Below are 23,080 nucleotides of genomic sequence, written 5' to 3'. Positions count from 1 at the left end.
TCATGATTTTCAATTGGACAGATCAATAAAAAAATCCATAACTCACATCTATGGCCTTGCAAAAAATATTCTAAATATATAACAACGTAATGACAAAGCAATGAATCATTGGATTCTGTATCTTTGTGCTGAAATCCATTCAGCAGTTTTGTCTACTTCTTAACTAATATTGAAAGCTTCTAATACAACTACATTAATCAAATAACATCTCAAAAAATTGTGCTGATTGACGTAAAAGACATATTGTACACCTTAACATTATATTCTCATAATCCAGATTCAGTCAGCCATAATTTTATAAGATTTATCTGTGATGATATTAAATTGTTTATTATGCAGTATTCTATACAGAAATATTTTTAAATATATATATATGTGGAATAAAATGCTCTAATAAACCAATTATGCAAATAAAAAGACACTTGTTCCATATGCCATTTTTGAGTTAACTATCTTAAAAAATTACATTCCAAGGATTTTAGACAGATTAATAACATGCAAAGTTTTTATGAAAAAAACAATTATTTATGCATGTCAAAGAAATGGGGAAATATAGGCAAAATTTTTTAAAGTTATATTTTATCATACAAAAAAATTAATATATGGCTTTATACAGGTGGCTAGAGTTGAAGTAAATCTACCTTGAAGATAAAATAAATGCTTGATTAAAATTATCATATGATATATATATTTAAAGTTAGAATTTAACTTATATTTATATACACATGATTATATTTTAAATGATGTAATCATTTTCTATAAGTAACAAAGCAAACCTGAATTACCAGATACTTTATAAGATAAATTTCAAGTTATCATTTGCATTTTTGTATTATAAGTAATATTTTAAAGTATTGATATTACCTCTCTCCAATTTTTCAAGAGGAAATAGCTAGTGAGCGTAGCCCTACTCACAGCTGTAGCAGATTTTCTTTGTTTTTTGTTTTTTTCACTCACCAAAAGGTATTTCTATAAGTAGTATGTGAAATCTCATTCTTAAAAGATTTCCTACCTCAGACATTAATTATACACAATAAGGAAATTATTTTTTATGATTTGAGCTGATTTTTTTTATTCCCAGCAATTGGTGTCTAGAGAAATAATGTTGTCATACATTGATTAAAAACACTTGATAAACCTAACTGTTAAAATTGGCTGTTAGCTGAGTAAACTACAAAATTATTATTTCAGAAGGGAGCAGTGAATAAATGGATTTATTTTTAAAGTACTCAGCTTTCAGGTATATTCTACATTGTTGAGATTAAAGGTAGGATTGAAAGGAGTTGAGAAGGGACCAAAAGAACTGACAGGGTTTTGATTACAGCAAGTAACAAGCAGATTTATATACACTGAAAGCATTCAAGACTGCTGAAGCACAGCTGGCATCATGTATAAAACTGATGATCATGAATTAAATGAGTGATGGGTGACAGTAATCTAACATGTTCTCAATGCAATAGTTTTTAACTGTCTTTTACTTGAGGGTCTTTTAAAAAATATACTTTTATATTTATTTTAATGATTTTCTTTTGAATACACCTTTATTCGCCAAAAGAATTATGATTTCCTCGTATATGCCAATATTTCCATCACTGTTTAATTGTGTATTAGAGGACTTTAAAAATATTCTTATTAGCAGTCAAATATTAAATATCATGTTGCTTGTAATTAAGCTTTTTTCAGGTTACACTGAAATTGGCAAAGGCCAGACATGGTGGCTCACGCCTGTAATCCCAGCACTTTGGGAGGATGAGGCAGGCAGATCATTTCAAGTCAGGAGTTCGAGACCAGCCTGACCAACATGGCAAAACCCAGTCTCTACTAAAAATACAAAAATTAGCCAGACATGGTGGCACATGCCTGTAATCCCAGCTACTGGGAAAGCTGAGGCATGAGAATTGCTTGAATCCAGGAGGCGGAGGTTGCAGTGAGCCAAGATCCCACCACTGCACTCCAGCCTGGGTGACAGAGACTCTACCTCAAAAAAAAAAAAAAAAAAGAAAGAAAGAAAGAAAGATAAATTAGCAAAGAAAGTATACTGTACAGACAACTCATAGAGACAAAATAGAATTTAACCAAAAGAAAACGTGTAGTTTCTACGGAACTCCAAATATTCAAAGTTACCGCCACATGCCTACATATCTAGGGATGTATGTGATGGAAAACTAAATGGCTGTTTCTTGAGATAAAATGGAATAAAAAAAATTTGATGTCCTATTGTATAGAGGGTTCCATTACTATCCCCATGTTCAGAGATTTACTAAAACTCAAGGGATTCAGCATGTAAGTGTATGCATGGCTAAGATTTATTACAGTGATGTTCTCAGAATACACATCCAGATCATGAAGGACAAAGACACAAGTCAAGTCAGTCTGGAGAAATCCTTGTGAAGGCTTCCTTATGCTCCCTCACTCCAAGATCAGAGTATACTTTTCTTCCAGTAAAAGAAAAGCAGCAAAATGTGTGCAATATTTCTACATGGAAGCCCATTAGAGATTCATCTTCCGAGGATTTGCTGAGGCCTAGTGATACAACCACTTTCTGTCTAGAAAATAGCAAAATTCCAGATTCCCAGAAGAAAAGCAGGTGTTTTCGGTAAACCATAAGGTCATCATTAACCACATTCTTTACACAAAAGGTCTAGGCACAGTGAGTAACCCTTATCAGTTAAATGTTGCCTGTAAACACTCTGAAAACCAAATTCCCAAGTGACAGCCAAGGCAACCTTGGAAGCAGGCCTTTATAAGGATAGCACTCTCAGACTTGCTATGTTAACACTTTTTGGACACCCATCATTTTTAGAATACATGTAAGAGTGGAGAAACGTTTTGGTTTTCCATTGTAGGCATTTTCAATCTTTTTCAGTTAACTGAGATATAGGAGTCCAGCTGTATTCGTTTCCTAGGGCTACATCATAAAGTGCCACAAACTGGGTGGCTCAAACCAACAGAATGATATTCTTTCACAGTACTGGAGGCCAGAAGTCTGAAATCAAGGTTGCCTTAGGGCATGGTTGCTCTCAGGGTTCTAAGAGAGAATATTTTCCATGCCCTTCTCTTAGCTCTGGTGTTGCCGACAATCATTGGCATTCCTTGACTTGTGGACACATCACATCACTCCAGTCTCTGCCTCTGTTTTCACATGGTATTCTGTACAATGTGTCAGTGTCCCTGTATCTCTTCCCTTAAGGGCACCAGACATATTAAATTAGAGCCCACTCTATTTCCAAATAAAGTCACATTCACAGGTATAGGGGAGTTAGAACTTCAGCATATTTTTGGAGAGACTAAATATTCTGAATATTCTAAATATTCTTAAGGGATAGTCCACTATAGAACATCTAGATCTGTTTAAAACATACTATTTAATGCATTGCTATCCACTAAACAGAATGAAACCAAGCAAAACAAAAAAGACAAAGAGCAAGAGTCAAGCAAGCTTCAGAGAGAAATGACATCCCACTGCTCACTACACTAAAATAAATATAAAATACTAAATATAAATATTTTATGTATATTATAAATGACATCCCACTGCTCACTACACTAAAATAAATATAAAACATTAAATACTAAAATAAATGTAAAAAAAAAGATTTCCTCAAAGACAATTGGTGCTTCAGTTTCATGACTATCTTTGGGAAAGTAGCAAGGTAAAGAAGCTGACTTTTAGATTGCCTTACGAAGCCAGAGTTGCCAAAAGGGAGAAGCATGCAAACACCGCATGTATGTGTGTTTGATTTTATTGTATTACTTATATATTTATTGTACATATTTAATGTATATATAATTTTCATGATATTTTACCGTCATTTATCCCCATAAAGATGGCTACAGCACATGATTTGACTTTATACTTCCTTATGTTTAAGATAGTTAAATATCCCCCTGTCTAGAATTGTGACTCCAGTAAGTTTGGTGAGCGGGAGGAAGTGGCGCCCAGGAGGCTTTTTGCTCCTTCACTCTCGTAATTCAGCCAGTAGAAGGGAGTGGCATCCAGCAGCTTTTACATGCCTGTAGTTCAGCAAGTGGGAAGGAGGGTTACAGCTCTTTTATTCCCACTGCTCTCAGCTCGGTGAGTTCTGGGTTCTTGTCCTGTGACCAAGAGGTACACAGACACTGGAGAATGAGTAAGGCAGATAGAAGATTTATTGACTGACGAAAGAAAAGCTCTGACTAAAAGAGGGGCCCTGGAAATGGGTAGCTGTCTTAGAATGGGGGAGTCTGTGCTGACTGGTCCATGGGTGGTCTTGGAAAAAGCGCGATTTTATGAGTTAAAAGGCGTCGTTCAGAAGGAACCAATCAAGAGAGTGGGTAAGATAGAGCTTGAAGTTCTCACTCAGGTCATGGACTCTATCTGGATCTGGCCTCTCAGTTTTCAGGCTTTAAACTGTCCTTGGTTTGAAAGTCACGTTTCACCAGGGTTTTCTTGTCTGCCTGGGAATGTGTCTGTCTCCTGTCACTATCAGAATTAGAGACAAGGTCCCTTCCTTTTTATTTTTTACTATCTGGTAGGTATACAACTCATGGAGCTATTAAAAGGACAACTAATTATTCTGGCTTCTATACATCAGAAATCAATATCTGGCATACATATTATCTCAAAAGTTCTTCTAATAACATCAGAAAAGAGATGTGGTTCATGCTTTTATTGAGTTTCACTCCTAATAAAAACAAAAAACAGAAGAAGAAGGAGGAGAAAGAAAAGGAAGAGAAAATAAATATGATTCTACCACAAAGACCTAGAGGCACCATGAGTATGTTTTGATGAAGTTAACACAGGCTGAAGAAAAAGAACACACAATAATATGTGCAGACAATCATTTTAAAAACTCATGAGGTCTAAAGGAATAATATTTATTTAAATGTTTTGTAAATTTTTAAATTCAACAAGATGAATAACTTTATTACCAAGTGTTGCAAATGAGGTATTTGCAGCAAGGTTTCTTTTGTTTGGGAATATAAAATATTTACTCCTGTTACAATAATTTTTAAAGATAGTATAAGAACATCTTTTTTTTTCAACTTTTAGGTTCAGGGGAACATGTGAAGTTTTGCTACATCAGTGAATTCATGTCACAGGGGTTTGTACAAATTATTTCATCACCCAGGTATTAATCCCAGTACCCAATAGTTCTTTTTCCTGCTTCTCTCCTTCTTCCCACCCTCCACCCCCAAGTAGACCTCAGAGTCTGTTGTTTCCTTCCTTGTGTTCGTGGGTTCTCATAATTTAGCTCCCACTTTTAATTGAAAACATGCAGTATTTAGTTTTCTGTTTCTGAGTTAGTTTGCTAAGGATAATGGCCTCCAGCTCCATCCATGTTCCTGCAAAAGACAAGGTCTGGAAGAACATCTATTTTAAACCAAAAACTATTTTAAATGTTGAGAAAAAAATAGAAATAAAAGTTGTTAATAATCAGATTTTATTTGACCCATAAAATATACTATTACAAATTTATATTTTATTTTTTACTTTGCTTGGCTCAAAGGTATTTTTGTGGCTTGAGATTCTGAGAAATGACTTTTCCTTTTAGTGACCAAGTATCTTTTAGTAGCCTTTCTACCAAATGCTATTTTACCTCCCCTTTATTTACTCTTTATCACAATAACATCAGTTCTCTGTCATGGCTAAGTGTATTTTTCAAGCTCAGTGGTGGCTGAAGCTACTATTTTCTCTTTCCACCTAGATGTCAGGAGTTGAAGAAAGGCAGTAGATTTTTTCCTTAATTTTCCAGTGCTTCTTTCTACACTGTCAAATCATATTATAAGGAAGCAGCAGATAGGATTCAGGCTACACTGAGAAGGTAAATCATTAACTAAAATTCTTCCTATACTACCACAGTCTCCAGTGCAATATAAGAAATAGTTCTTTGTCTTTCTTTTTTAATGTTTTTTGGTGGTCCTTTTCTATAATTGGGGGGAAATCTGTAATCATATCAAAAAAATATAAATTTTGGCAACATTTAAAAATATTCCAAATTATTTTACTAAAGTAGTTGTGTGTTTAAGTGATATTCGAAAGTCTTAGGCATTTTATTTCTCAGTTTAGAGATTTAAAAATGGCCAGACTATTTAAAGATTGAATACTTACAGCAATAACAGAGAAGTCTGAGTGAGGGTGTGAGATATCTTTGCAAAATTCATATCTATATATTTTTATTCTATACATCTTTGGATTTCTTCTCAACTTAATATGATCCAATTTATATAAGCAGGAATCTACTAAAAATGATGAAATATTGCTTTTTAAAGTAAAAAAGTTCTTTTAATATCTGGCACATTATATTGTCATCATTTTTTAAACCTGGTTGGTATTACTTTTTCTGAGTAATACCTAAAGAAGTTCAATTTTATTCATTGGAGGAAATCTAAAAACACTATGAGAAGTTACATTTTTTGTAAAATATGCAGTTCTTGAAAAACATATTTTCAGTATTTTCCCTAATATAAATACAACTTGACAAAATGTGCTCTAAAATATTTTAACTGTATTTACATATTGGGGAAAATGAAATTTTTTAATGAATATCAATTTAGAATTCCACTCAAATTTAGCTTAAAATAGAAACACTAGAGAAAATGACTGGATGATCCACACAAATGGAAGTCAAAATATTTTGCACAAGGGCTATTTATATAAATTAAGGCATATGCTAAGTTTCAATAGTTTCACTCTATTTCTATTACTTAATCTGTAAAGGAAAAGTAAAAAGGAAACCAGCAAAGTGCTAATATTTTCTGTCCAGGGTAGAAGTGGAAATTTTGATTATAGCACCATCAAATCTTCCTTTTCCCTTGATAGCCAAAAGCAATTTATATTATCCATCTCAGATTTTTCACTGACATTTCATAGCAAGGGTCTCAAAGTGTGGTGGAAAACTTTGTTACTGACTCAAAGATTTTCAATATTGTCCCCATTTTTTCTTGAAGGAAGAGTTTAAAATCTAGACTCTCACCAATTTTAAATACACTGGTTTTGCCAAAGGAAAACCTTTTATCTCCCACCTCCATTTTTTAATTTACTATCCCAAACTAATGATAGTGAATTAAAACATTCAGGTATTTACAATTTTAGTGGTTAAAAACAAATTATAATAAATTAGAAATTACATTAGATATTTTCATGTCAAGGCATTCTCTATTGGAGTTAAATCAAGACATCTGTACCTTCTTTTTGCCATAATTCATGTATTAAAAAAACATTAAAAATTGAGCAAAAGCCATAAGAAGGAACAAGAACATCTCCTTTGCAGAAATGTGGATGGAGCTGGAAGCCATTATCTTCAGTAAACTAACAAAGGAACAGAATACCAAACACCACATCTACTCACTTTTAAGTGGGAGCTGAACAATGAGAACATATGGACACATGGAGTGGAACAACACACACTGGGGCCTGTCAGGGGTGCGGGGCAAGGGACAGTATCAGGAAGAACAGCTAATAGGTGCTGGGCTTAAAACTTGGATAATGGGTTAATCTGTGCAGCAAACCACCATGGCACATATTTACCTATGTAACAAACCTATACATCCTGCACATGTACCCCAGAACATAAAATAAAAGTTGATTTTTAAAAATTGAGCGAAAATTTGTATACCAAATTGAATAACTGTTATTATATTTACTATAGTTATTCCTTTGTGCTTTTAATTAAAACTTGTTCACCAACACATTTTATTTTAAATTTTCCTCTCTTTTACATGTCTATACCAATGAAAGTAGATATCTGAAAACATTCAGATTAGGTAAGTTACGTTTTCAAAAAATTAGAAAAAAATCTTAGAAAGTATATTATTATAGTGTCAATAATTGACTTTAAAATATAAACAACTATTATACCTCTTACTAATAAAAGACTGTTTTGACAAAACTATTACTTTAAACAATTATGTCACTTACTACAAGAGAAAATGTAAGATGGATATATAAACTACATTTAAGAAAAGCAATAAGGTAAGGAATATAAGTGGATAATTTAAGAGAAAAAATAAGATGATTATTGAGGGTGCTAACAGTTAAAAGGCAATTTTTTAATGTGTTAATCACAATGCCCCATCTGTGCTGACATGAGCCTAACCTCATAATTGAGTTCCCGTTTGACGTGCATAAAAAACTTGCCCTAACTAGAAGAGAAGAAGGAGCAGTTTAATTTTACATGAAGGAATTCCATAAAAACTTTTACCTCTGTAAGATTTGACTTCGGTTGGGGGAAGGTTTTATCACATTAGCATTTCATTTATAACAGCAACATACTTTCCATGTTGATGAATTAAAATAAAAGCACAACAGAAACTGTTATAAATTTCTGGCATTTTGTCAAATGGTCTTGGTTTGAGGTCCCCTAAAAAGTTGACCTTGAAGTGAAGACCAGGTGTTGGTAATTTATCAGGGAGCTGGTCCAAGGAATCACAAGTGAGGACACAGGAAAGAAAAGACAGGGAGGGAAGAAAGACCATGAGCAAATTTCTGCTGTGAGCAACTGGGACTCAAGTTCAGCGAGAGGACATCTGAGGCAGAATGTGTATTTCTGTATTCCAGAATCTGAACTTGTGTCTTTTGTCATCTAACTCTGGTGTATGACCATGCCATACCTTTTGGTTGAGAAAGTTCCCCTGGCAACAGACAAATTTTATGTTGAATTTGTATTTTCAATACACTTTTATGATATGATAATCATTTGTTTATTCATTTTATTTTACGCATGTTAGACTTCATTCACAACATACATGTTAGTTGGTCAACAAAACTACCCAATTTATTACTTGATGAATAAAATAAATGATGGCAAACATTTACAAAACTAGAAAAGATTCTTGTGTTTTATTTTGAAAATTTTACAACTGAAAATAGTACTAGAAACATACATCCACCCTTCACTTTGTTTTATAATTGGTTAATAGTTTGCCTCATTTGCTTTATCTCTTTAACCACAATATCATTATTGCAACCCAGAAATTTAGCATTAACAAGACAATAATTTATTTTAAAGTCCATAATTTTAAGTTATCCAAATATCTCAAAAGGTATTTTAGATGCATTTTTGACTGAAGACTCAGTCAAATATGACCAGTAACATATCATTGTCTAGATATTTAATCTCCTTTAATATAGAAGAGTATTCTACCTTTTTTGTTTTTATCACATTTATATTTTTGAAGGCCCCAAGTCAGTTGTCTCATAGAACGTGTCAAATGTGAGTTTCCCTGATTGTTAGCTAATAACATTGAAATTAAACATATTTGGGAAAATGTAATGTGTAATTTGTGTGCTTTCTATTATATCTCATCAGAAAGTTCATAATATTAGTTTCTTTCATTATTAGTGGTCCTAAATTTGATCACTTGGATAAGATAGCATCTGCAACATCTGTCCACTTAAAATTTATCTTTTTTCATTGCAATTAAGAAATGAAAAATCTCCTTGTGATTTCTCCTGTAACTAGAAGCAAGTGACTATCCATTTCCCTATCAAATTTTTACTCAATGATTTTCGCATCCATTCATTACCCTTCCTGGAAACACTGATCACTTTAGTGGTTGTGAAACGGCGATTTTCTGGTTTTAGCCTTGCTTTTAAATGTACTATGCAAAGTTTCTTAAGCAGAGAAGAGCCTCTCCCTCACTTTTTGAGTATCATTAAGTACTCCTGAATTCTTTCTTATCCTCTTAATAAATGTGTAGGGTCCATATTTCATAGATGCTGGAAAAAGACAGGAGATCCCTGGATCAGAGGCAATAAAAGTTTTTATAGCATAACTGGTAGCACAAACCTCACAGCTGAGAAATTCCAAGCATAGAGAACCCCAAACATAAACAAGCATCACAAATTGGGTAGTTTAAACAAGAGATGTTTATTGCCTTACAGTTTTAGAGGCTAGAAATCCAAGACCAAGGTTTCAGTGGAGCTGGTTCTTCCTGATGTCTATGAGAGAGGATCTGTTACATACTTCTTCCCTAGCTTCTGGTGGTTTGTGGGCAATATTTGGTGTTTCCTTGACTTGTAGATCCCCCAGTCTCTGCCTTCATCTCATATGTTCTCTCTACATTCACATTCCCCCTTATTATTAAAGACAACAGTAACATTTGACTAGGGTCCATGCTAGTGACCTCATCTTTTTTTCTTAGTATTTTATTTTACTGTAATCAGAATACTTAACAGATCTATCCTTTTCACAAATTTTAAGTGTACAATGACCAGACATTTCACAAAAGAAGATATACAAATTGCGAATAAACACAGAAAAAGGTGTTCAGCATCATTATTCATTAGAGAAATGCAAACCAAAACTATAAGATACCACTACATACCCATTAGAATGGCTAAAATATAAAAGACTGATCATACCAAGTGTTGACGAGGGTGTAGAGCAACTAGAAGTCTCAAACCCTGATGACAGGGATGTAAACTCACTTTGCATAACAGTTTGGCAGTTTCTTAAACAGATAAATGTGCATGTACCATACAACCTAACCATTCCACCCCTAGTTGTTTACTCAAGATGAATGAAAGAATATATCCACACAGACTTGTTGATAAATGTTTATTACAGCTTCATTGTAATAGTTAAAACCTAGAAGAACCCAAATGTCCATCAACAGCTGAATAGATAAACAAATTGTTATGCATCTATTCAATGGAATACTATTCAGCAATAAAGATAAACTATTAATATGTACAGCCAGATAGATGAAACTCAAAATAATTATGCTGAATGAAAGATGTCAGGTGAAAATGAGCACATACTGTGCAATTCCATTTGTATAAGATTCTAGAAAATGCAAACCAAACTACAGAGACAGAAAGCAGATAAATAGTTACATAGGGAGCACTGAGGAGGGCAGAGAGGAAGGGATTACAAAAGGTTACATGAGAGTGAGAGGAAATTTAGGATATGATGGTCATGTTTATTATCTAAATTACGGTGATTTTTTTTTTTTTGAGACGGAATTTCGCTCCTGTTGCCCAGTCTGGAGTGCAATGGCATGATCTCAGCCCACCACAACCTCTGCCTCGCGAGTTCACGCAATTCTCCTGCCTCAGCCTCCCGAGTAGCTGGGATTACAGGCATGCGCCACCACGCCTGGCTAATTTTGTATTTTTAGTGGAGACAGCGTTTCACCGTGTTGGCCAGGCTGGTCTCAAATTCCCGACCTCAGGGGATCTGCCCACTTGGGCCCCCAAAGTACTGGGATTAGAGGCGTGAGCCACCACGCCCAGCTGGTGATGGTTTTATGATTTTCGGGTATATACATATATGAAAACTTATTAAATGTTATACTTTAAATATGTTGTTTACTATTTATATTATACCCCAATAAAACTTTCTCATTTTAAAAAAGATAAAAGACCTCATAAAGGGACTGCTGGCAAACCTGTCTAATCTTCCTTTAGAGAAAGATAGTATCTTATTTATCCTGGTCAGGATGTAAGTCTCTTCTGCACCAGAGGGAGCATTTGTATCTCTCTTTGCTATACAAATATCCTTAAAATGATAGTCCGGAACAAAAGTGTCAGTGCCTTTATTCAGAACATTTGCAAAAATGTGAGTGACTCATGGAGTTTTTTCTCTCAACAATATAATGGTGGCATAATCCATCTCCACTATTCACTCTGATTTTCAAGTTTTCCCAAATTTGTTGACAGGGAACACATTAAAGTTGGCTCATGTGTCTTTCAAATATGTCCCTATTTCTTTATCTTTATCTTCCCTCCCTCCCTCCCCGTCTCTCTCTATTTCTTAAAACCTTTTTACCATCTAGCACATTAAAGTATTCTATTTTATGCTTTCCTTTCCCCAGATGAGGTGTTGACTATTTATCTAAAGGTGCCTTGGTTCTTTTTAATAACAATGGTATTCCAAAACCAAACCCTGAGTGCTTGACTGTCTCATATCCCTAGGACTATTCAGTGACAAGCTCATATAGTCATACTGAATCTTACAATTCAAATTCAGCACCATGCAGTTCTTCCACATCTCCCAGACTCTATGTATTTCTTCTCCCACAGTGAAGAACTTGGTTCTCAAGAACCCCAACACACTCGTTTGCTCCACCTTCTCTGTAATACAAATATAAAAGTTTCAGAATTTCTAAACCAATATCACAACAAACAACAAGTCTACTAAGATTTCAAGATTTTCCTGAAGCTTTTTTTTTTGTTGCTTTTCTTAGCTGTACTAAGAAAAAAACCATGAAAGTATTCTGTATATACGCACCTACATTAAAAAGGCATAAACAGACAAGTGCCAGAGCAACACTTAAACTTTATACCCTATTTTAATGTACTCTCGTTAGGTAATTTTCTCTTCTGTTTCTGACTTAATCCTTTTTGTATTTCTTTTTACAAAAATAACCACATATCTGCATATTAATACTGTTCTATATTTTTTCTTAACTGCAAATCATAAATCCATTTAACAGATCATGAAGACTGTCCTAAATTTGAGCTCCTGAATAAAACTATTTTAGCGAATATTTCATTTTTGGGGGATTGTTTTGTTTATCAGTTCTTTATGAATAGACATTTAGATGGCTTTTAATATTTTGCTATTTCAAATGATTCTTTAATAAATAACGTGTGTAGGTTATCTTGTATGTCTGGAGCTGTACTTTCAACATAAATTTCTCAAAATGGGATTACTGGGTCAAAGAGGCAATTCTACAGAGCTTTGTTAGATAGTATCACATTTTTATCTGTAACTAGAGATATGTAATCATCAATGAATCATATATTTTGTAGCTATTGTAAGAAAATAATGCATACTGTCTTTTGGGAGTTAAACTTTGAAATTTATGACTGTTAGATTAAATATGGTAAATAGACTTCACCTTTATCTAAGAGGGAACTTTACAAATACCAAATAGTATGTGAATATACTAATTTTTAGAGCATTTATTTAAATTACCATTAAAACCTAAATTTAATTCATGATTATCTGCTTACCTGCTTATTAATAACTATGGTAGCTACATTTATCATGCATGTATAAATTGTAATTACACTCTACTGTACAGATATTTATGCCTTACTTGGCTAATACAGTGGGATGTCTATGAGTGTAATTAGGTACCTAACCTTAATTATGAAGGCATAAATAGCTAATTTGCTTAAACTTCAGTTAATTGTGAAGAAAATATATTTTTGCATGCATTTGTTTGATGGGTCCATGTAGAGTCTGCATAGACAAAATAAAATTTGTTTATTAAAAATGTGATGTAGACTTCATTTTGTACTTTAAATTTTTGTAAAAATACTTCATAGTATATATTTTCTAGAACTGTGTATATTTATGTATATGCAGTGTTTTACTACTGTATGCCAGAAATTCAAATTATATAGAAGATAGCTTTCAAATTCTAACAAACGTTAAGGTCTCACAGGACAAATTGAATAGTAATAGTTGTATGTTTGTACTACAATTTTCAATTACACTAAACTTTCAAAACCATTCTAGTAATTCAATTGTAGGTATTCATTCTCAGAGATTAGTAATAATGTTTTTTATTATTAAATCATTTTATGGATTTCAAAGCAATTTCTCAAGCATTACTTTTTTATGCTTCGCAAAAAGCCTGTGAGAAGATAAAACTGCATTTTGGTTCTGTGGGTTTCATTATTAATAGGTTTGATATCTCAATATGTGTAATCAAAATGTAATATTTGGAGATCTCTTTTTATATTGTTCTTCCAAATCTATAATCATCTGACAAAATTTATGTTGCATCACTATTGTGGAAACGATCCTATTGCAAACAAAGGAGTGTTTGATGAAAGAGCCTTGTTGTCACAATTCTCTTACCATTTTAGGGATTTAGTAGTAAAAAGCTTTTAATATCCTGATTTGCTTCAGATGACATTTTGAGATAATCCAAAATATAATCTTTAAAATTTGAGAAGAAATAAGTTATTTCATATATTAACTAAAACACAGCACATTTTAATTAACAGGGCATTAAAAATAACTAAGTAGCTTGAAGCTGTTAAGCATCAAAAGAAGGTTGTTGCTGATAGTTAAAATTGCTGTGTATTAAATTTTGAGGTATGAAACAAACAAAATCAGACTGTATTTATTTCACCATTAGTATAATGGCAGTTGAAAAACAATGTTTATATTTAAAATGTTGATGATATTATATAATATTTTCACATAATATGGTTTTTATTAATATTACTATATATATTATAAAATAATATGCACTGGAGCATTTTAATTTTCACACATATAAAACCTATTCATTAGGATGAATAATATTCTCCTAATGAATGATTATAAAAGAGAGTTGCATTCTCAGAAATATAAAGCTATGTCATTCATCCCATATGCCTCACTTTTAGACTTAATATTCAATAATGTATTTCCAGCATTTTGGAGATGATACTCAATATTTTTCTTTTACCTCAAAATGGGACACAGGAAAATTTGCTTAAGGCCAAATGGCCATCTGCTTGGGGCTAAAATCTCACTGCTTTCTGGCACACATAATGAGTAACCTCTGCTGCGTTAATTTTTCTAATATAATGAGTTCTATACAACTTATCATATCTTTCATTTTTTATTCATTATCATAAAATGATAAAGCCAAAATATAAGGTAATATGCAGATATTTTATGAACACTATTGGATATACCAAATTAACTAAAATAAATAAAAATATTGCCTGCAAAGGATTATCACTACGATGTGTCAATATGTTCATTAGTTGGTGTATGGATGCTTGAATTTGGCATGTGAAAGAGAGTTTAGGAGTGCTGACATATAATGTGTATTTATAACACAGTAGGCATTTCATTAATGTTCGTTAACTGAGTAAGACTGTAGGTCACATGAGATTTTAAAATATTGAGACTATATGTTCATAGTTCTCTTAGTAGAGATTTTCTTAATGCATGTATTTTAATAAATTAAAGAAAAATATTGTATTCTATATAGCAAGCATTTCCAGAAAAAAATTGGGTTTTGTTTGAATATTTTGGTAAATATATTTTAAATATAATTTTAAAATATTAAAAATGATTTTAACAGATATATTAAAGTAACTGGTCATGAAGCAGTAATTTGGAAATTGAAAGGAAAAAATTATTTTTGAAAGTTTTGGGGGTGAAAAGTAAGATGAAAGTGAGAATGTAGGTTTTGCATTTACAAAGTTAATGAATCACTGGGTGGAATGGAAAGATGGATCTAAATTAATTTGAACTCATCAATATTTTTGAGAACTTTGACTATAGTTACAAGAGATTGATTGGGAACTTGAGAGAATGGTTTTGGAAAGGAAAGAAACATTGTGTGTTTATTTTTTTATTACAAGACCTGAATATATTTGTACATAGAGATGAAAGCATCAGTCGTAACGATGAGGATGAAGGCACAAGAAAATAAGTATATAACTAGGGGAAAAACAAGATATTAAGACTGGATCAACATTAAAACTGGAGAGGTGAAGATCAGATGTCATGGCACATACTGGCAAAACGTGGTAGAATGCAATGAGATGGTAAGATAGAAATGGAATGATTATCTGAGACTAAACCCACCAACAGTGAGAAGACAGGTAGTGAAGCAACAGGTTCATCTGCATATACTTGGAAGAAACAAAGTCTGCAAGCTAAAATGTGCAAAGCAATATGTAAACAAGAAGCAAGTCCAGTATAATCATAGGCATCTGATAGGTCCAATGTGAATAATCAACATGTCCTTCTAGCTGATTTAAATCAGGTGACTGGAATTTGGGAACTAGTCATACTTAGAGATTTCATAGGCAGCAGAGTCCCAGAGAAGGGTGTCAATAACAACATAGGGCTTGAGATTGGAGAAACATTGTGCACCACTTTTAACGTCTTATATTTATTTGCTGGAGGACAGAATAATAGAAGACAAGAAAAAATATAAACAAGGCAGGTTGTTGGAGGACAGAAAGAACTAGGTCTATGATAAAAAGAATATAGCAGATGAGTAATCCAGGAGGTATTGGTGCACCATGGAAGTTATAAATTCAAGAAGTAATATGTATTTTAAAAAGTGAGATTCCCATCTCAAAGGAGAAATTTCATTTCAAGAACCAAAAAATAAATTAACTAGATTAGAGGTAGACGAAATATGCCTTTTGGACCAAATCTAGTTTGCAGGCTGATGTTTTATGAACCCAAGCTAAGAATGACTTTTACAATTGTAAAGGATTACGCACACACAAACACGTGTGCACGCACACTGTTATGTACGATCATATACGTACACACAAAAAGCAGCATGTAAACAAGGTTTTAATTGTTCGTAATTCCTAATTTATTTAATATCTAGCCCTTTATCAAAAACATACACTAATCCTTGAACTAGATAAAGCTAGATACTTTAAAACCAGGAATAAGTTTACAACTAACACAAAGTAAAACAAAACAAACGAACAACAACAACAAAAAAACTTGATGTCAAATGCTGTATTGCTTAGAAATCCTGAAAATTTATATTATAACTTAGGTATGTGTTAATTGTAAGCAACCGATAACACAATAGAAAGTAGCTTACATGTTATCACAGAAAACAGTTATACTTTGCTTTGTGCCACTGCTCATAACAACTCAAACAGTTATACTCTGGAAGAAGTCAAAGGGGTTAAGTTTCACAATATCACCTCTACAGGTAATAAGTTCAATGATGTATTTCTTGCCTGTGATTCTCCTGACTCAGCCCTTATAATAGGGCTTCCAGACTTCACCCCAATGTTCTAAACACTAGTCCACAAGAAAAGTCCTGAACCTCACTAATATGCTCTTCTCCAAGCTGTTTTATCAGATATGGGTCCTTTTTTATCATTGCCTTATGTATTCCTCAGAATAATTCAATCCACCAGTTATCTAGCAAATATGTTTTAAGCATTTATCATATACCAGGCACTGTTTTAGACGCTGAGGGTAAAATGGTGACTAGGATAGAGTCACCATTTTAGAGACAGAGTCCCTTTTCTCAATTAGCTTATAGTTGATTGGATAAAAACAGCAAGGAAGGAAGGGAGGGAGGGAAGAAGGAAGGAAGGGGAGGGAGGGATGAATTCTATGAAGAGTTAAATGAGAGCCAAGAGAACTTTGAGAGCTGTTTTAGCTAAAGGTGGTCAGAGAATTTTTCTCTGAACTGATATTTCAATTGAGACATAATCAGAAGAAAGCAGTCATGGGATGAGTATTCTAAATAAAAGGGATAAGAAGTGCGAAGACCCAGAAAGAGATAAACAAGGTTGAGTTATTCAAGGGACAGAAAGAAGTTGAGGGTGGTATAGCATTCTGAGCGATGGGATGGTGGAGGGCAAAAAGACAGAGAGTAGGCAGAGCCACAGAGGCTTCCTTGTTATTAGCTCAAGTGCTTTAATTTGCAAGGGTGCAAAAACCATTGAAGCAAAAATACAGACATTCTTGTGATCAATTTTAACAACCACTAAAAAACATCAAGAGTATACAAAAAGGCTGATATAAAATAGTCTCAACATAATTATATGTAGTAAACTTTTCTTTCTCTTTTTTATTCCAGGCAAAGTAATTATAATACTATTCTGAAGAAAATTTTCCAAATATATATTGCATTGCAGTTTATGGTAAAGTATCTCAGAAATTTATCTAGCATATCATTTAAAAATTTATAAGAGACAAAAGATCACTTCAGAAAGAGGTTTTCAGAACTAGGTTACCTGAAGAAAAAAAAGGTCACTGGGAAGACTTGAAGAAGGGATTAGAATTGTAATAATAGAGGAAGGGGGCAGTAACAGACAAAGCCTGGAGAGATTTTCCCCCTTAAAGAATGAAATAGGACAGTTTGCATGTGGCATAGTGTTTATGTGGAAAAATAGATGATATATCTGGAAATAAATTTTTGGAGCAAATGACTAGGAGCCTGTTCAAAAATGCCTTCCAATTTAAAAAGGGAAATGTTTAGGAAAAGGAGGGATTTCAATGCTCAGCTATCCAACCTCATGTATTAAAAAACCAAGCACTTATTACCACGTACACATTTTTTTTAGAACATAATTTTAAATATCTACGGACAAAAATGGGAAGTGACACTAACTACTCTCTACCTACCCACTCATGCCAACCCAGAAATCAGGGCATTCTTTTTCTCCAGATGCTTGTGATTAATGTCCAAAATTGTTTTCATGACTGCTGTGCATCATTGCAAATGCTCTCAACTTTCTTTCCCACGGACAGCTTAAGGAGTAGTTTTGAGTCTGTTAGTACATCTTAAAACTAGGATGAATGTGATATGCCTACTGCAGCATGGTTTATGGTCTCTTACCATGTCAGGCTCTCATGCATCAGAGCAATGCCTCAATTTTACTGGCTCTTTTCCTCCAAGTTGTTAGGACAGAAGCAGAAGGCATATCTGTTACTGATTTATTTATTGTTAAGACCAAACTGCTATAAATATTTAATATAGACACTATATTTTAGTTATGAAAACTAAGTATACAGATAATTCAGTTTAAACTATGTTTAAGCCAGAAATTTCTGTAATAGTTAACCCTGATTGATTAAACGTTTTAAAATCAAGATATGCTCAATATCCATATATTAATATGTTCATTTGTAACTTTCAGTTGACTCTCCATACAAATCTCTGAAAAATTCCATACATCAGCTGATATTGTCTATCTTTTTCTTATCCTCTTCAGAGAGCTAATACTAAAAATTGAAATTGTATCAAAGTTGAAAGGAAAAAATATATATATTATAGATGTCCTCGGGAAAGAGGATTTAAGGAAAAATTTATTCATGGAGCCCACACTCACTGAATGAGGACCGAAAAAATAGCTTTAAATTCTCTAGTGTGTGTTTGATGATAATTTATTGAGGTGATATTTATATAACATTAACTTGTAATTTCATAAAATTGTATGAAGCTCTTTTTAGAATATAACAAAGGTATTACTGTTAAGCTTCTATTTGTCCAAATTCCTGAGCATTTTAGTGTTCACTTTCCTAACTACAGGTGATTCAGTAAGCTACAGGTTTAGGTTGCTGAGAATTTCTTCTTTTAAGCTGGGGCCCCTTGACAGGCCATGGACTGGAAAACATAAATGCCATCCTCAACAATGGCCCAAGGTAGAAAATATACCCACTGCAGGAGATTTTTGATCAAATTAAGTCTTAAACCTGATGTCAACAACAAATTATGTTATTGAGCCCTTCTGAAATACCCAGTGCCTGGAATGTGTACTCTTTAAACCAAGTTTGCCAGATAAAATACAATACACCCAGTTAAATTTGATTTTCAGATTAAAACATGCTTTAAAAAATATAAATGTGTCCCAAATATTGCATGAGACATAATTACACTAAAAAATTTGTCATTTAAATTTTTAATTTAATCAGCTATCATATATATTTATATTCTAAATCCAGCAACCCAAATTAAAACTGAATATAATCAAAGCTAGACATTATTTTTTGTTTTGTTTGCTTGTTTTCCTCATTTTCTTCCTAGAAGAGATCCTACCGTCTGCCCTCTCTAAGTTGCTTCTTTAAAAGGACTGATAGGGACTTCTGATAGTGGACATCATTTTTTTACTAATAGCTTTTCTACCAAATCACATAAGTCAATAGCATCCACCCTTTCTAAGGACTGAAGAGAATCGTCTCTTCATACCTGATGTCAACAACCCATTAAGTTATTGACTCCCATGAAACACCCAGTTTCTGAACTGTGTACTCTTCAAACCAACTTTGCCAGATAAAATACAGGACCCCCAGTTAAATTTGAATTTCAGATTAAAGCATATTTTAAAAATATAAATGTGTCCCAAATATTGTATGAGACATAATTACACTACCCACTACAAGAGCTTTTTGATCAAATTAAGCCTTAAACCTGATGTCAACAACCCATTATATTCTTGATTCTGACTTCTGAGTTTGAAAGGAAGAGCTAAATAAACCTATTCAATTGAGCTCTTTCAAGAATTTGTTTTATTTGAGAGGAGTATGTCTTTTCTTGTTTTTGTCTTTTTAAAGTGTTCAATAAATTTTACAAATTGTTTTATGAACTGTTCAACAAATTGTTTCTTGTTGAAAATATATAGACCCCTTGCTATTTACATTTTTCATATTTTTGCATGAAAGAGAGACTTTAAATCTTTATTTCAGGCTTCTTTAGATTTTAATAATGAAGTTATAATAGCTGTATGACAGAATTTTATTTTACATTGCGTCATTTGAAATGATAATTTTTTTGATAAATAAAAATCAATAATTTATTTAAAATATCTTTACATTATCCCTATATCAAATACTCTTTTTACAGTAAAACAGAATTGTAAGTATGCCAGTAGTAATCACTTTTTAGATTGTATTTTACTTTTGATAATGCAAATATACTCAAATTTCTTAGAGAATTTAATCATTAAACATCGCCCTTTTTATCTTTCAATTTGCAACCAGGCACTTATTGTCCCTATTATTATCAGAACACAAATAAAAACAGAAGACCCCAAATGAACAAAAAAGACTGCTTTGCCCCACTTTGTTAGTCATTGTTACTCATTTAGACTAATAATTTGACCTTGTGTTTTCTTTGAGACAACCACATTTACATGAGATGAAAGAAAAGCATTTCTCTTAGGAAATCATTTACAAATCAAGTTTGCTCATTTAAAATATTTTTCTTGTTATTGATCAATGATGCGGTGTTCTCTGTAACACAATAGGAATTGCCTCCATGTTAAAGATACGTGAGTTTGTAAAAGCTGCTTTTCAGTATTCTCTAACTCAACAGTTAATGTCTGTCATTACTTAATGGCTAGAATTTCTATTAAGTCACAAGGCTTGTTTTATACTTAGCTTACTTCCTCGTGGTACATTATTCTACACTTCCAAGTTCAAAAATCAAAACAGTAAGTTTGAATGTACAAGCTATTATTCAGTGCACAATGCCATGTAACATGTATCAGTGTGCTCATTTAACAACCATTAGTCCATGAAAGAGAGAGACTAACCAAATATGGTATGTTGAAGTTACCACATATGGTTTGTTAGAGATGAAGTTTATGCCATGGTGACAGAAGAGGAGAACTGAAGTTACAAAGCAGGAAAATAATCATAGAAGCATACTGCGTAGATTGTATGATATATGAAACCTCCTTTTAAAATCTTCGTATATGTATCTCTTTGGCATGGTCCATTTTTCTAATATTTAATCTTCACAGATGCATCTTCTTCTTTTTTTTCAATTGAATATGAATGCTGTCCTTCTCATTCTTCTGCTTAGTTTGTGTTAGTTGGAGTGTAATAAAAGTAAAAGGCAAGCATACTTCATAAGTGACCTGGATATGCTCAATATCTGTATATTAATATATTCATTGTAACTTATTTCTATTTTCATCTCTCTTCTACATCCAGCTTTTTTTACTTTGAGCAAATTAGTTACTCTCTCTGTATATTGTTTAATAATATTAATAAGGTGGAGTCAGCTACATAATTTATAAATTTTATTCAGTAACTAAAGCTTTTGGTTGCTTATTTAAACCCTGTTGAATTTCTGATCCTGTTGTAAATCTAGTCCTGTAAACTAAATACTCTTTTCTGGTTACAGAGTTGGATTTAATGTTTATAGCCCAAAACTCTATTGCAAATTTTTACTTATAACAGCTCTATTGTACATAACCTATAATGCACTGAAATATCAAAATATTAAAGAAGTTTCACCCTGCCTTCTGGTACATGATCTAGTCCTTACTTATTTAAAATAATTCAATGATTCATAGAGGATTAGAAATGATATAGCAGAAATTTGAAAAAAAAAAAAAAAAAAAAAAAAAGAACAGTCAAGGCCCAGCATTTCAAATTCAAAACAAACTCAGAAAATTGAAGGCTGAAATATTAATATATTAGTTTTCTAGACCAACATTAAAAAATCACAGACTAGATGGTTTAAACAACAGAAATTTATTTTCTCACAGTTTTCTGGAGGCTAGATGTCAAAGATTAAGATATTGGCAGGTTTGCTTTCTCCTGAGGCCTCTCTCCTTGCTTGCTGATGGCTGCTTCCTGCATCATCATATGGGTTTTTCCCATGTGCCTGTGCTTCCTTGGTGTCTATGTGTGTTCAAGTGTCTTCTTATAAGGACAGAAGTCATATTGGATTAGGGCCCACCCACACAACCTCTTATAAATTTAATTACCTCTTTAAATGTCTTATCTCTAAATACAGTCATGTTCTGGGCTATTGGTAGGTAGGACTTCTACATATGTGTTTCATGGGAACACAATTCCGTCCATAAGAATTAGTATTGAAGGAAAGCATTTTGTGAATACCCGTAAGTGAGGCCCTGGCTCAACAATAAAGTGGAAAAGGATAAAATCATCCATTCCTAACATTCTGTAGCTTAGGAAAGTATATGAGTTATTTAGGGATGGGAGACAGAGGCCAACATGAAACTTGCTAGAAAGGCTTATGGTTTATCATGCCTGAGAAGGAGCCCTTCAATTGTTCCACTAGGTAGAAAGGGTATTGGGATTAAAACCTCCAGTTAGACCAGTGCGGTGGCCCACGCCTGTAATCCTAGCACTTTGGGAGCCCAAGGCGGGTAGATCACTAGGTCAAGAGCTAGAGACCATCCTGGCCAACATGGAGAAATCCCGTCTCTACTAAAAATACAAAAAAATTAGCTGGGCGTGGTGGCACACACCTTTAATTCCAGCTACTAAGGAGGATGAGATGGGAGAATCACTTGAACCTGGGAGGTGGAGGTTGCAGTGAGTCGAGGTTGCACCATTGCACTCCAGCTTGGGTGACAAAACGAGACTCTGTTTCTCAACACCCCACCCCCGCAGAAAAAAAACCTCCAGTCAATTTTCGGAAAGTTTAGACTAAAGAGGATTTGGGCCTGTTTCCCTACTGAAGATCCAGGAAACAACAAACCCACTGATGAAACCATAGGACCATCCTTGTATCAGAACACTCACAGAATAATGACTTCAGATGGCATCTAGGCAGATAGGTTTGAGGCAGCCTCACAGAAATTTATTCTCCCAAGCCATTGGTTAGCCATTTTCTTTATGGCCCAAATAAAGGCAAGGAAGTTAGCAAAGGAAGGTGTCCC

This window comes from Homo sapiens, chromosome 8 (assembly GCF_000001405.40).
Source record: "Homo sapiens chromosome 8, GRCh38.p14 Primary Assembly".
NCBI lineage: Eukaryota > Metazoa > Chordata > Mammalia > Primates > Hominidae > Homo > Homo sapiens.
Note: the sequence above shows the minus strand (reverse complement) of the source record.